The sequence below is a fragment of the Homo sapiens genome, chromosome 19 (genome assembly GCF_000001405.40).
Source record: "Homo sapiens chromosome 19, GRCh38.p14 Primary Assembly".
In the NCBI taxonomy this organism is placed as follows: Eukaryota; Metazoa; Chordata; class Mammalia; order Primates; family Hominidae; genus Homo; species Homo sapiens.
In genome coordinates, this window is record NC_000019.10 from 48599961 (window position 1) to 48614874 (window position 14914).

At 56.4% G+C, this 14914-nt stretch overlaps 2 protein-coding genes across 3 annotated transcripts in view, besides 5 other annotated features; one reads left to right on the forward strand and one right to left on the reverse strand.

The window, feature by feature from the left end:
* Window positions 1–14914, reverse strand: part of FAM83E (family with sequence similarity 83 member E) — a 15116-nt gene continuing 202 nt past the window's right edge. The window contains exons 2-7 of one of the 2 annotated variants that reach the window (XM_024451561.2): window positions 14752–14879; window positions 12948–14667; window positions 10720–10887; window positions 9916–10040; window positions 3534–3951; window positions 1–1409 (exon numbers count right to left, since the gene is read on the reverse strand). In XM_024451561.2, the coding sequence (XP_024307329.1) occupies window positions 1149–1409; window positions 3534–3951; window positions 9916–10040; window positions 10720–10887; window positions 12948–13412 (1437 nt within the window). In that variant the 5' untranslated portion in view covers window positions 13413–14667; window positions 14752–14879 and the 3' untranslated portion in view covers window positions 1–1148. Of the gene's footprint in view, window positions 1410–3533; window positions 3952–9915; window positions 10041–10719; window positions 10888–12947; window positions 14668–14747; window positions 14880–14914 lie in introns of both variants that reach the window. The other variant, NM_017708.4, reaches the window with a different exon arrangement.
* SPACA4 (sperm acrosome associated 4) lies at window positions 6782–7754 on the forward strand. The gene has a single exon (NM_133498.3). The coding sequence runs from the start codon at window positions 7019–7021 to the stop codon at window positions 7391–7393; it is 375 nt and encodes a 124-aa protein (NP_598005.1). The 5' UTR covers window positions 6782–7018; the 3' UTR covers window positions 7394–7754.
* Window positions 14051–14227: a silencer, noted in NCBI's record as "fragment chr19:49117268-49117444 (GRCh37/hg19 assembly coordinates)". NCBI's record gives its function as "represses an EF-1alpha promoter that drives an FKBP-Casp9 reporter gene in an ReSE screen in HepG2 liver carcinoma cells {active_cell/tissue: HepG2}" and the evidence as "EXISTENCE:reporter gene assay evidence [ECO:0000049][PMID:32094911]".
* Window positions 14532–14914: part of an enhancer, noted in NCBI's record as "H3K27ac-H3K4me1 hESC enhancer chr19:49117749-49118580 (GRCh37/hg19 assembly coordinates)", that runs on past the window's edge. NCBI's record gives its function as "activates a minimal SCP1, AML or CMV promoter by ChIP-STARR-seq in primed H9 embryonic stem cells {active_cell/tissue: H9 hESC(primed)}" and the evidence as "EXISTENCE:reporter gene assay evidence [ECO:0000049][PMID:30033119]".
* Window positions 14600–14649: an enhancer, noted in NCBI's record as "active region_14899". NCBI's record gives its function as "activates an Ori minimal core promoter by ATAC-STARR-seq in GM12878 lymphoblastoid cells {active_cell/tissue: GM12878}" and the evidence as "EXISTENCE:reporter gene assay evidence [ECO:0000049][PMID:35858748]".
* Window positions 14670–14769: an enhancer, noted in NCBI's record as "active region_14900". NCBI's record gives its function as "activates an Ori minimal core promoter by ATAC-STARR-seq in GM12878 lymphoblastoid cells {active_cell/tissue: GM12878}" and the evidence as "EXISTENCE:reporter gene assay evidence [ECO:0000049][PMID:35858748]".
* Window positions 14800–14859: an enhancer, noted in NCBI's record as "active region_14901". NCBI's record gives its function as "activates an Ori minimal core promoter by ATAC-STARR-seq in GM12878 lymphoblastoid cells {active_cell/tissue: GM12878}" and the evidence as "EXISTENCE:reporter gene assay evidence [ECO:0000049][PMID:35858748]".

A 14914-nucleotide genomic window follows, 5' to 3' on the forward strand; every position in this document is an offset into this window, starting at 1 on the left:
TTTTTGGCATAAAGTGGTTTTATTCCGAGCAGAGGTAAACGGGAGCTCCGGCAGACCCGCCCTCTCAGCGCCCACAGAAAGTCCCACCACCCACCCTGTTCCCCTGTGGCTGTACCACATTCCACTCCCTCAGTATTCAGCTCCTTGCCTCAGTTTCCCCACAGCTCCTGAACACAGTGTGCCTGGCAGCGACTCCCCATCTTCCCCTCCACAGCTCTAGCAGCTCTAGCTCGGGGCCTCACCCGGGCCCCTCATCAGGAAGGCCTGACCCTCGGGAGCTGTGTGTGTCTTCTTTAGGATCCGCTGCCTGGGGACGCTGCCAGCCCATCTTCTGGGTTGTGACACTGAGGTCTGGTGCAGGCAATGGGCTTGCCCAAGTCCTTTTTTTTGTTTGAGATGAAATCTCGCTCTGTCACCCAGGCTGGAGTGCAGTGGCGTGATCTCAGCTCACTGCAACCTCCGCCTCCCGGGTTCAAGCAATTCTCCCGTCTCAGCCTCCTAAGTAGCTGGGATTACAGGCGCCCGCCACCACACCTGGCTAATTTTTGTATTTGGTAGAGATGGGGTTTCACCATGTTGGTCAGGTTGGTCTTGAACTCCTGACCTCAGGTGATCCACATGCCTCAGCCTCCCAAAGTGCTGGGATTACAGGAGTGAGCCACCTCGATCAGCCTTTCTTTTTCTTTTTTCTTTTTTTTTTTTTTTTAAAGAGATGGCCTCTCACTGTGTTGCCCAGGCTGGAGTGCAAGGGCATGATCTTGGCTCACTGCTGCCTCCACCTCCTGAGCTCAAGGGATCCTCCCACCTCAGCCTCCTGCGTAGCTGGGACCACAGGCGTGCGCCACCACACCCAACTAATTTGTTTTTTTAATTGTAGAGATGGGGTCTCACTATGTTGCCCAGGCTGGTCTCCAACTCCTGGCCTTAAGCAACCCTCCCACCTTAGCCTCCCAAAGTGCAGGGATTACAGGCATGAGCCACCACTCCCGGCCCAAGTTGCAGAACAAGTGACAAACATCCCTTCTGCTTGACAGACGCCGAGGCCAGAAGCCTTGTCCAAGGCAGGGCATTGAGGCAGAGGGCTCTGAGCCGACAGTTGTCCGGCACTGCTCCTTGGGTGGGCCAGCAGATTTGGCTTGGGCTCCTGTTCAGGGTTGCCCCCCAAGTCCTGCCCGGGGGGCCCAGTCTGACGGCCTGACGCCTCTGGGCTCTTGAAGTTTGAATGTAGCATCCCCACCGAACCGCCTTCGGGCTGGGGACAGATAGCGGAGGCGGTGGGCGGGGGGCAGGGGCAGGGCACCGCCCCACGGAGGTCGGGAGTCCACTTCCCCCCAGGGGCCTCCTCCAGTGCCCCGCTGCCTCATCAGAGCCTTGGCTGGAGTGTCCTTGGAGCCCCAGGATTTCTTGAGCTGTGGAGGGAAAGAGAGGGAGGTGAGAGGAGGCTGGGGTGGGGCCCTGGGGGCATCCCAGATCCAGGGAAGGCAGGAGGTGAGGCAAGAGAGAAGCAGCGAAAGTGACAGACGGCCAGGCACGGTGGCTCACGCCTGTAATCCCAGCACTTTGGGAGGCCGAGGTGGGTGGATCACCTGAGGTCAGGAGTTCAAGACCAGCCTGGCCAACATGGTGAAACCCTATCTCTACTAAAAATACAAAAATTAGCCTGAGGTGGTGGTGGGCGCCTGTAATCCTAGCTACTCGGGAGGCTGAGGCAGGAGAATCGCTTGAACCCGGAAGGGAGAGATTGCAGTGAGCTGAGATAGCGCCACCGCACTCCAGCCTGGGCATCAGAACAAGACTCAGTCTCAAAAAAAAAAAAAGGAAGTGATAGAGGATTTGAGGGAGGTGGAAGGAGATGGTGGAGGAGGGAAGGGAGGGAAGAGAGGAGAGAGGGAGGAGAGAGATGGAGGCCGGACGCGGTGGCTCACACCAGTAATCCCAGCACTTTGGGAGGTGGGAGGATTGCTTGAGCTCAGGAGTTCGAGACCAACCTAGGCAACACAGTGAGACCTCATCTCTCCAAAAAATACAAAAATTAGCCAGGCGTGGTGGCGTGGGTCTGTAATCCTAGCTACTTGGAAGGCTGAGGTGGGAGGATCACTTGAGCCCAGGAGGTTGAGGCTGCAGTGAGCCGAGATCATGCCACTGTACTCCAGCCTGGGAGACAGAGCGAGACCCTATCTCAAAAAAAAAAAAAAAAAAAAAAAATGGGTGGAGGAGGTAAAAGAAGAGGAAGGGGTAAGGGAGAAGGTGAGGGAGGAGAAAGAAGGAGAGGAGGGAGGAGGGGAGCCAGGAAGGAGAGAGAGGAGACAGAGAGGGTGAAAGGGGAAGGATGAGGTGAGGAAGAGGCAGGAAGGCAGCAGCAGGAGGAGGGACAGAAAGGAGAGGGATGCAGAGGAGGAAGCAGGTAAGGAGGACGGTGTGGGGAGCCCGAGAGGGAAGGGGGGAAGTGAGAGGGCAAACCTGGGACCCCCTAACCTACAGAGGGACAAGGAGCTGGGTCCCCACCTCTGCAGCTGGGGAGGAACCGGAAGCGCCGGCATCTGCCAGCCGGGATCAAATATTTGCCAAGGGAGGGGATGCTGGGTGAGGGTGCTCAGGACCAGGTGAAGGTAAGGACCTTGCCCCTGCCCATCCCCCGTCTCCTCTCCAGCTAGGAGCCTTCCTTGCCTGGGACGGAGGGAGATGATTCCTGATTCCCAAGGCATTGCAGAGCAAGACCCTATCTCAAAAAAAAAAAAAAAAAAATATATATATATATATATATATATATATATATATATATATATATATATAGCTTTCTTTGGCCTGGGATGAGGATGTCACAAAATAAATAAATTCCACTTCAGGAATGTATTTATTTATTGTTTATTATTATTATTATTATTATTATTATTATTATTATTATTATTTTGAGACAGCCTTGCTCTGTCACCCAGGCTAGAGTGCAGTGGAACGATCTCAGCTCACTGCAACCGCCGCCTCCCTGGCTCAAACGATTCTCCTGCCTAAGCCTCCGGAGTAGCTGGGACTACAGGTGTGCACCAACACACCCAGCGAATTTTTTTGTATTTTTAGTAGAGATAGGGTTTCACTATGCTGGCCAGGCTGGTCTCGATCTCCCTGTTTCAGGAATGTATTGTTGTTGTCATTACTACTCTATTTCATTTAGCCAAGTGGATTCCTCCCCCAACCAAACTCGGAATGAGTGCCCTTGCTCTGCTCCTTCCTAGATGAGGATACCGAGGTTCAGAGAATTCAAGTCCTCGGCTTCCCCCCACCTAGTCTGTCATGCCAGGATTTGCACCCAGGGCTCTCCTGTCTCTGCCCCATGCCACCCAGCGCCCACCTGCCCAAAATGCAGCAGGCGTGCAGGAAATGAACAAACGATGCCATTATGAATTTAGGGGTGCAGGCCCTCAGGAAACGCCTGCTCTGGCTGGGAGCAGGGCCCCTGGAGCCTGGCTTGCACCACCCTGGGCAAACGCCTTCCCCTTCCTGGGCTCCATCTTCTGGCACCAGCCACAAGGTCTCACCTCGTTGTCCCCATCACTGGAGCCAGACAGCTGGGACAGGCGGCTTAGGTCCCACATGGAGCGGCTGGGCCGGGCCGGGGGGCCGCTGGGGGTCCGGGCGCGCTGCACACTCCTTAGAATGTCACTGAGTGCCGGCCCCGGGGTAGCAGGGGAGACGCGGCAGGCGGCCAGGCGGTGGGCCAGCGGGCCGTCAGGCGGCGGAGGCGACGCGGGGGCCACGGAGCGGCGGCGGGACACGCGGTGCGGGCTGCGGCCCCGCTGCAGGCCACCTATGACCGAGGGTTTCTGGGGGGGCGCAGGTGGGAGCGGGCAGGAGGCCGCGTACAGCGTCCGGAACTCAAGGCTGAAGGCGTCAACAATTTCACCAGTCAGCAGGGTCACCAGGCCTCGGTGCAGGCGTGCGTCACTCCACGTGAAGCTGGGGGTCGGGGAGTAGGGGGTCAGAGTCTCCAACCCTGAGGGCCCAGCCCGGCCCCCATCCTCAGCCAGGTCCCAGGGGAGACCGTAGGACCTCAGGCGAGTCCTGACCTCTCCAGCCTCAGCTTCCCTGTCTGTAGAATGGGCACAACTGAAGTACCTACTCGGGAGGGGTGGAGTGAAGACAGCCCAAGTTAAGACACTTATATAATCAGGGCCAGGTGTGGTGACTCACACTTTGGGAGGCTGAGGCAGGAGGGTTGCTTGAGCCCAGGAGTTTCAGACCAGCCTGGGCAACATGGTGAGACCCTATCTCTACAAAAAATCAAAAAAACTAGCCAGGTGTGGTGGCGCACACCTGTACTCCCAGCCACTTGGGAGACTGAGGCGGGAGGATCCCTTGACCCTGGGATTTTTTTTTTTTTTTTTTTTTTTGTGAGACGGAGTTTCGCTCTTTTTGCCCAGGCTGGAGTGTAGTGGCATGATCTCGGCTCACTGCAACCTCTGCCTCCTGGCTTCAAGCAATTCTCCTGCCTCAGCCTCCTGAGTAGTTGGGATTACAGGCACCTGCCGCCATGCCCGGCTAATTTTTTGTATTTTTAGTAGAGATGGGGTTTCACCACATTGGCCAGGCTGGTCTCGAACCCCTGACCTCAGGTGATCCACCCGCCTCGGCCTCCCAAAGTGCTGGGATTACAGGTGTGAGCCACCCGTGCCCGGCTGAGCCTGGGAAATTGAGGCTGCAGTGAGCCGTGATAATACCACTGCATTCCAGCCTGGGCAGCAAAGCAAGACCCTGTCCCCCTCGCCCCCCTCCCAAAAAAAAAAAAGCCAGATGCGGTGGCTCACTCCTGTAATCCCAGCACTTTGGGAGGCTGAGGCGGGCAGATCATGAGGTCAGGAGTTTGAGATCAGCCTGACCAACATGGTGAAACCCCATCTCTACTAAAAATACAGAAATTAGCTGGGTATGGTGGCACATGCCTGTAATTCCAGCTACTCAGGAGGCTGAGGCAGGAGAATTGCTTGAACCCGGGAGGTGGAGGTTGCAGTGAGCTGAAATCACACCACTGCACTCCAACCTGGGCGACAGAGCGAGACTCTGACTCAAAAAAAAAAAAAAAAAAAAAAAACTTATCTGGAATCAGACTGGAGTTTAAACCCAGGCTCTGCCTGGTCCCCACTTAGGAACACCTCAATGCCTCAGTTTTCCCCTTTGGAAAGAGACGGAATTCACTTCCGGACACTAACAGGGATTGTTTTAAGACCCAGCTGCTTCCTAGAATGACTGCCATTTAGTCAGTCCTGGCTGTGCACCAAGCTCTCCACGTTGCTGCTCCCTGCAGTGCTCATCTGCAATCTGGAGCAAAAACCTAGGAAGGCCGTGTGCAGTGGCTCATGCCTGTAATCCCAGCACTTTGGGAGGCCGAGGCAGGAGGATCACTTGAGGCTAGGAGTTTGAGACCAGCCTGGGCAACATAGCAAGACCCCATCTCTATAAAAAATTTTACAAAATTAGCCGGGCATGGTGGTGCACGCCTATAGTCCCAGCTACTCTGGAGGCTCAGGGAGGAGAATCACTTGAGCCTGGGAAGTTGAGGCTGCAGTGAGCCAAGATCGCGCCACTGCACTCCAGTCTAGGCAACAGAGCAAGATCCTATTTTTTTTTTTTTTTGAGATGGAGTCTTGCTCTATTGCCTAGGCTCAAGTGCAGTGGCACAATATTGGCTCACTGCAACCTCCACCTCCCAGGTTCAAGCCTCCCAAGTAGCTGGGATTACAGGTGCACACCACCATGCCCAGCAAATTTTTGTATTTTTAGTAGAGATGGGGTTTTACCACGTTGGCCATGCTGGTCTTGAACTCCTGAGCTCAGGTGATCCACCCGCCTCGGCCTCCCAAAGTGCTGGGATTACAGGCGTGAGCCACTGCGCCCGGCCAATTTTTTAAAATAAAAAATAAAATTAAGAAATAAATACAACATAGGAATATTCAAATGACTGAATTTGAATCAAGCCCCCTGCACGTAGCTGGCCCTGAGAGCCTGTGAGCTGTGGGGGCCGGTGCCCTAACACTTCCTGTCATCACAGTAGTTGTTATTGAAAGCACCAAGTGCCAGGCGTGGTGTGGTGGCTCACGTCTGTAATCCCAGCACTTTGGGAGGTCGAGGCGGGCAGATCACTTGAGCTCAAGAGTTCGCAACCAGCCTGGCCTACATGGTGAAACCCTGTCTCTACTAAAAATACAAAAATTAGCCAGATGTGGTTGCATGCGCCTGCAGTCCCAGCCACTCGGGAGGCTGAGTTACGAGAATCGCTTGAAGCTGGGAAGCAGAAGCTGCAGTGAGCTGAGATCACGCCACTGCACTCCAGCCTGGGTGACAGAGTGAGAGACTCCGTCTCAAAAAAATAAAAGCAAGCAAGCACTGAGCATGAATCCTGGCACACAGCAAGTGCTCAGTTAATACACCCTCTTCTTTCCCAGCCTCTTTGGAATTCAATGAACCTGGCTCTCATCCTGGCTCGGGGACCCTGGATACATCACTTTCCCCAGCCTTAGTTTACCCATCTGGAATATGGGGTCACTATGGGAGGTGTGAGGCTGAAGTCAAGCCCTTGGCGGGTGTACAGCACAGAGAATGCGGACAAGCTTGTGGCCAGCGTCCTCTGGGTTCAGGGCGTCTTCACCTTGGCAGGGATGGCAGAGCCCTCTTGCGCCCCGGCAGGTCGGCGGGGCAGGCCACCCCTTGGATTGTGACACCCACTCCTCTCACCTATGACCTCATCCCCAGAGCGGCCAGTGGGAACCCTGAGGGATCTGTGAGATCACTCATTCCATTCACAGACTCTTGTTGGGCAGCAGCCACCCGCTCACCTCCATCCCCAGGACTTAGAGGGACGCAGGGCGTTGGGAACAGAGGACACTCCAGGCGCTGACCCTGGGAGGCCAGGACCAGGGCCAAAGTCCCGTGGGCAAGAGGAGTCCTCAGAGGTCCTTCATTCAGCGGTTCCGGGAGGTCTGGGAAGCCCACGGCCTGGCTGGGGCAGGGTCAACGCCGCCAGGCCGCCATGGTCCTGTGCTGGCTGCTGCTTCTGGTGATGGCTCTGCCCCCAGGCACGACGGGCGTCAAGGACTGCGTCTTCTGTGAGCTCACCGACTCCATGCAGTGTCCTGGTACCTACATGCACTGTGGCGATGACGAGGACTGCTTCACAGGCCACGGGGTCGCCCCGGGCACTGGTCCGGTCATCAACAAAGGCTGCCTGCGAGCCACCAGCTGCGGCCTTGAGGAACCCGTCAGCTACAGGGGCGTCACCTACAGCCTCACCACCAACTGCTGCACCGGCCGCCTGTGTAACAGAGCCCCGAGCAGCCAGACAGTGGGGGCCACCACCAGCCTGGCACTGGGGCTGGGTATGCTGCTTCCTCCACGTTTGCTGTGACCAACAGGGAGGACAGGGCCTGGGACTGTTCTCCCAGATCCGCCACTCCCCATGTCCCCATGTCCTTCCCCCACTAAATGGCCAGAGAGGCCCTGGACAACCTCTTGCGGCCCTGGCTTCATCCCTTCTAAGGCTGTCCACCAGGAGCCCGGTGCTAGGGGAAGCATCCCCAGGCCTGACTGAGCGGCAGGGGAGCACGGCCCGTGGGTTTGATTGTATTACTCTGTTCCACTGGTTCTAAGACGCAGAGCTTCTCACATCTCAATCAGGATGCTTCTCTCCATTGGTAGCACTTTAGAGTCCATGAAATATGGTAAAAAATATATATATATCATAATAAATGACAGCTGATGTTCATGGAGCATTCTTTGTTTTCTTTTCTTTTTCTTTTCCTTTTTTTTTTTTTCTTTTTGTAGAGATAAGGTCCAGCTATGTTGCCCAGGGTGGTCTCGGATTCTTGGGCTCAAGTGATCCTCCCACCTCAGCCTCCCAAAGTGCTGGGATTACAGGTATGAGCCACGGCACCTGGCCAAGCCTGTCTTACGTTACGTGCCACTGAATCCTCACACCAAGCTGGGAAGGTAAACACTCTTTCAAACATTTCAAACATCCTGGTCTCAACTCCAATCATTCTCAAAGTGTGGTCCCTGGACCAGAAACAGCAGCAGCAGCAAGTGGGAACTTCCTGAAAATGCAGATTCTCAGGTCCTGTTCCAGGCACGATGAATGGCAGTGGGGTCCAAAAGCTGTGTATTGTTCTCTCTTTTTCTTTTTGAAACAGGGTTTTGCTCTGCTGCCCAGGCTGGAGTGCAGTGGTGCAATCTTGGCTCATTGCAGCCTCTACCTCCTGGGCTCAAGCAATCCTCCCACCTCAGCCTCCTGAGTAGCTGGGACTAGAAGCATGCTCCATCATGTCTAATTTTTATTTTTTTAAATTTTTGTAGAGATGGGGTCCTGCTATGTTGCCCAGGCTGGTCTTGAAGTCCTGGGCTCAAGCGATCCTCCTGCCTCAGCCTCCCAAAGTGCTGGGACTACAGACATGAACCACCACGCCTGGCCTTTTTCCGTTTTCTTTTTCTTTTCCTTTTTTTTTTTTTTTTTTATTTTTTGAGACAGAGTCTCGCTCGGTCACCCAGGCTTTAGTGCAGTGGCGCGATCTTGGCTCACTGCAACCTCCACCTCCCAGGTTCTAGCGATTCTCCTGCCTCAGCCTCCCGAGTAGCTGGGACTAGAGATGCATTCCACCAGGCCCGGCTGATTTTTTGTATTTTTAGTAGAGACAGGGTTTCCCCATGTTAATCAGGCTGGTCTGAAACTCCTGACCTCGGGTGATCCACCTGCCTCGGCCTCCCAAAGTGCTGGGATTACAGGTGTGAGCCACCACGCCCAGCCCAAAAGCTGTGTTTTAACAAGCGCTCCCAGGGATTCTGGTGCATGCACAGGGTTGAAAGCCACTGTTCCTGAGCAGTGTTCTCAGCTGGGCACCTGTGCTCCCCAGTGGGCATCTGCGCTGTCTGGAGAGGTTTTCGGTTCTCTAATTGGCAGGGAAAGTCGGGGGTATGGGGCGTGTGATGCTACTGACCTCTGCTGGGTGGAGGCTGAAGATGCCGAGGAGCCTCCCACAATGCACCCAACAGCTCCTAAAACAAAGACTTACCCAGCCCGAGCGTGGGTGCCACCCCTGTTGAGGGACCTGGTTCTAGAGGCTCTAACCCTATCAGCCCATGACATAGAGGGGGAAACTGAGGCACAGAGAGGTGAAGTAAGTTGCCTGAAGTCACACAACGAGGAACTGAGAGAGCTAGAATTTGAATCCAGGCCGTCTGGTCCCAGAGGCCACACCCCTCTCCTCCCTAGCTGTGCTGTGACCCTGTGAGGTAGGTGCTGTTATTATTTGCAGTTTCTTTCTTTCTTTTTTTTTTTTTTTTTTTTTTGCTTTTTTGAGATGGAGTCTTGCTCTGTCTCCCAGGCTGGAGTGCGACAGCGCGATCTCGGCTCACTGCAACCTCTCTCCTGGGTTCAAGCAATTCTCCTGCCTCAACCTCCCAAGTAGCTGGGAAGACAGGGTTTCACCATGTTGGCCAGACTGGTCTTGAACTCCTGACCTCAGCCAATCTGCCCGCCTCAGCCTCTCAAAGTGCTGGGATTACAGGCGTGAGCCACCATGTCCGGGCATTTTCTTAGATGCTCAGAGAGGTGGAGTTATTTACCCGAGGCAGAGCTTAGATCCCAATCCAGGTGCTCCTGATTTTGAACAAACCCCACCCCCAAACTGTTTGCCCAGTTTTCCAGATAAGAAAACACCAGGTCAAAGAGAAGCAGACTTACCCAAGACCACTAAACAGGCCAGCACCAGGTCCGGCCGCGGCACCAACCTCCTCCGCAGGGAAGAGTGTTTTGCCCCCATTACACAGATGAGAAAAGAGAGGCCTGGGCAAGGGGATGCCAGCTGTTCTCTGAGCACACTGAGGGAAAGTGGGGTATAGGACGCCGGGAGGTGGGGGGCGGGGCGGGGGCTACACCTGTAGGATCCTGAGATGACCCTCTCGCCGTCCAGCAGCACAAACTTCTCCCGCACGGTGCCGCTCACCTGCCGTCGCCAGCGGCTCTGGAAGCTGCAGCCCCGCACGACACGGACATCCACGTTCTGTTGGTGTGGGGAGTGGAGGGTACACCCTTGCTGAGGCCCACTGCATGGATTCAGGCTCCCTCCAGACTGGTTCTAACTGGGGGACCCATGACTCCATAGAAGTATCTGTCCAAGGCCAGGCGTGGTGGCTCACACTTGTAATCCCAGCACTTTGGGAGGCCGAGGCGGGTGGATCAGCTGAGGTCAGGAGGTCGAGACCAGCCTGGCCAACATGGCGAAACCCCGTCTCTACTAAAAATACAAAAGTTAGCCAGGCATGGTGACACATGCCTGTAATCCCAGCTACTGGGGAGTCTAAGGCAGGAGAATCGTTTGAACCCGGGAGGTGGAGGTTGCAGTGAGCCGAGATCACGCCACTGCACTCCAGCCTGGGCGACAAAGCAACACTCCGTCTCAAAAAAAAAAAAAAAAAAAAAAAAAAGAAGTATCTGTCTCAGCTTCCTTAGAGCCACTGATATCAACCCTCAGGCGTTTCTTGGGGATACCCAAACTCAGTGACTCAAGATTCCTTGGGAATGCCCACCCCCACCTCCCCAGTGCTGTGGGCATCAGATCCCAGGGGACCATCCCTGCTAGCATCCATCTCAATGACCCGGAGCTCCATGGAAGGGTCTGCCCCCACTGCCCCCATGCCAGGGGAATGGGGACTCACAGGACCCCCTGGCCCGGCCCCTACCTCCGTGTTCCAGGGGTTCACCCCCAGCTGCTGGGCCAGTTCCAGGAAGGCAGGCAGCTGCTGGCGGTCCAGGAGCAGGTAGACAGGTACCCAGCGGCGCGTGGCAGCATCCACCAAGTCCAAAAGCAGGTCTGGGTCAGTGAAGACGTCCATGACCACGGCCACCAGCTGGGCATGGGGAGAGGGGCGGTGGGCTTGTGAACGGAAGCTGGCTCAGGGGACACTCAGAGGGTGTGGGAAACCTGACATCTGGAATCTGGGAGTAAAGTGCTCTGGGGGCTGGGAGTTTAAAGTTCAGGTGGGCTAAAGGGGAGACCCCCAGACATACACTGCTGCTCAAACAGCACCTACGTGTGAATGAGCAAAACGCTGCCCCTCCATGAGATCCCCAGCCCCTCCTCGAGATTCCCGGCCCCTAAATGCTGGAAAACTGTAATCATAAATCATGTTTGCTTGTTTTTTTGTGTTTTTGTTGTTGTTGTTGTTTTTTGTTGTTTTTTTTTTTTTGAGACGGAGTCTCACTCTGTCTCCCAGGCTGCAGCTCAGGGGCGCAATCTCAGCTCACTGCAAACTCCACCTCCCGGGTTCAAGCAATTCTCCTGCCTCAGCCTCCCAAGTAGCTGGGACTACAGGCGCCCACCACCACGCCCAGCTAATTTTTTGTATTTTTAGTAGAGATGGGCTTTCACCGTGTTAGCCAGGATGGTCTCGATCTCCTGACCTCGTGATCCACCTGCCTCAGCCTCCCAAAGTGCTAGGAGTACAGGAGTGAGCCACCACGCCCGGCTTTTTTTTTCTTTTTTTAAAAGACGAAGTCTTGCTCTGTTGCCCAGGCTGGAGTGCAGTGGCGCAATATCAGCTCACTGCAACTTCGGCCTCTGGGACTCAAGCAGTTCTCCTGCCTCAGCCTCCAGAGTAGCTGGGATTACAGGCACCCACCACCACGCCCGGCTAATTTTTGTATTTTTAGTAGAGACGGGATTTCGCCATCTTGGCCAGGGTGGTCTTGAACCCCTGACCTCAGGTGATCCCCCAGCCTTGGCCTCCCAAAGTGCTGGGATTACAGGCCGTGAGCCACCGTGGCTGGCCTACAAATCACGTTTATAACACAGAACAGCGTCCCCTGAGCTGCGACACTGCGGTACCCAAATGTCCACGGCAGTTTGGCTGTAGGATCAGTGGTGGATGTCCCGTAGGGCACTGTGGGCAACTGCATTTCTGGGTCCTGTGGAATTTTCTGGGTGCTGGGTGCAGGACGGCTGACCTGCTAGGCCACCGTGGCGAACTTGGGGGACACGGAGGTGCTGAAGGCCTGGATCTTGCAGGCAGCATAAAGCAGTGGAAACCCTGACTCAGCAGCCAGACAGCCTGGGTTCAAATCCCCACTCGGCCACTTACAGGGAAGAGATTTAACCGCCCCCGTGCCTCCGTGGGCACAATAGTCCCTCTGGCGGTACAGGGTTCCGGGACGATGATGCACATTAGTCCCTGAGAAACCCTTCACGTGGGAGCTGGCGGACGCTAAGGCTGTGAAGTACACAGCAGGCTTTCCAAGGGCTGCAGTGTGGACATCTGGGCCTTCCTTGGAGGGAGAGTGGAAACCCCTGGCTTGGTGATGAGGGGATGGGGGAATGACTGAGACTGGGGGTGTCATAATTAGGTTCAAGGGGCATCGATACCTAAGGGCATCCAGGTCTTGGGGGAGGGTAGGGGCCCCCATTTCTTTCTTTTTTTTTTTTTATTGAGATGGAGTCTCGCTCTGTCGCCCAGGCTGAAGTGCAGTGGCTTGATCTTGGCTCACTGCAACCTCCGCCTCCCGGGTTCAAGCAATTCTGCTTCCTCAGCCTCCCGAGTAGCTGGGACTACAGGCGCCCACACCATGCCCGGCTAATTTTTGTATTTTTAGTACAGACGGGGTTTCACTATGTTGGCCAGGCTGGTCTCAAACTCCTGACCTCGTGATCCGTCCACCTCGGCCTCCCAAAGTGCTGGAATTACAGGCGTGAGCCACCGCGCCCGGCCGGGCCCCCCTTTCTGAGAGTAAGGATGAGGTCTGGGGTTGTAGGCACCTGAGTCCTGGGGCTGGAAGGTGTGCACTCCTGGGTCCCAGGGGTATAGGTCCTTTAGGGTAGGGGTGTGCGCTTGCAAGTCCCAGGAGGACAAGGGAGAGAATGCCTGGGTCCCCGTCCCAGTCTGGTGAATGGACACAGGGCCCCCGCGACACCCACCTTGTGGGCAGCCTGGATCTCCAGCCGCACCAGCTCCTTGAGGGGCGGCTGACCCTCTCCAGGAGGCTGGGTGTACAGCTGCGCCCGGGTGATGCCTTTCCACGCAGAGTCCACTGGCCAGCCCAGCCGCAGGACGGGCGCCGGCTGCTCCGACTGCCCAGGCCAGTAGCTCAGGCTGCCCGCGTCCACATCGGTGGTGGTGGCTCCCTCTGCCATCCCGCTGGGCTCCTGCTTGGCCACTGTCCAGTCTTCAGCTGCCGCTGCCAAGCCCTGAACCTCATCCGCACTGAGGAAGGGCCACAGCTCCTCGCGCTGCACGCAGGTCTGGAACGCCTCCGCGCCCTTGCTCAACAGAGCCTCCAGTGCCAGCCGCTGGCCCTCGGAATATAGAAAGCCGGGGCTGGCCCCGGGCACCCTGGGACCGGAGTCCACTCCTTCCAGCGCCGCCAGCTGGGAGGCCGCCATCGGGGTCACTCGGGTGGGAGGACTGACTGTGAGAGGCTGGGTCCCCGGGGGTCTGGCTGTCTCTGGGGACTGTGATCATCTGGGGGTTCTCCTGATAGGCAGACCCTACGTGGCCATCCGAGGCCTCCGGCGGGGCCCTGCAGATGTCCAAATGGCTCCCTGCAGCAGCCCCTGCCACACTGTTCTGACAATCACGCTGCCCAAATAAGCGACCATCCAATGTGTCAGGCCACTCAGATCCGCCACCTGCCTGCACCCAGTGGCACCATGCCTGGCTGGCCTTCCGTGACCTTCCTGCCAGCCGTCTCTGCTGGTCAGGTTGACCTCCTGACACCATCCCCAACTGTGTGACCCATCAGCTGGCCATCTCTGCTCAGCCACACGACAGCCTCCAACCCACCAGTCACACAGTGCCCAGTCAGACCCTTCAGCTGTCCTGAATTTGGTCAGGCTGACCACTTGATCATTTCCAGGCGGCAAGCTGCCTGCCTGTCTCTAATCACCCAAAGGTCCTTAAAGGCACGACAGGTTGCCTGCCTGCCCCCGGCCAAGAGCACGACGAACTGACCCTCTCCTTCCACTGTCTGGCAAACGCCAATGGCTTCCGACTGACAGTCACAGTATCTGCCTGTTGGAGCATCTGTCTCTGGCCAAATCTGACAGCCCCCACGAGTTTCTCCTGCTCATCAGCTCTCACCCGCAGACCAGCCAGGATGCCTCTCCACTGGGCCTGCTCGCTCAGCCTTAAAGGCCGAAGGCTTGGCAAACCCTTCCCTACCCTGTCAATGGGGGACCCTGCTCCCTGGACCCTCCTCACACTCCTTCCAGCTGCTGCAGTGGAGGGTGAAATGCGCTACAGGGGTCTCCATTACTATGGGACAGGTCTATGATCTTCACAGCCCATCTAGGTGTGAGTGCCACCTAACCAGCCACCCTCCTCAGGCTGGCTGCCCCTGCCTGGGGCCTGGCCCTGGGACCTGTTCCAGGCCGTCCTCTGATCTGCGGGGAGCCCTACCCAAGCTGCCCCCAGCCTGGTTTCTGCCTAAATGCTATCTCCTGCCAGCTACCCGGACGCTTCTTCCCGGACAGGGGCCAGTCTCTATCTCGCCCTGTCTCCCTCCCAAGCCTCAGTTATCCCCTTGAGGCTCCTGACCCAACCTCGGGGACCCTGGACCCTTGATCCCTGCAAACCAGAAGCCCTTCATTCCAATCCCACCAACCCAGGCCGCTGCTTCCTCCAGACCACAGCAGGGAGCTGCAAAGAGAAGAAAGGAGTCAAGGCAGGCCAGCCTCCCCGCCCCACCCTCACCCATCCCCCCCATCGCCGGGGCTCACCCACACCGGCTAGTGCCGGGCTCAATGGCCTCCCTTCCAGTGCCTGCTTTTTCCGAGAACGTAGGCTGTGGCTCCCCGGCTTCTACTTCTGCGGTGCTTCCCGGCTTCTGGCCTCACTCATCAGGCCTCGACCTGGAATCCAGGGAGCCCGGCCCCTTGTGTAAACA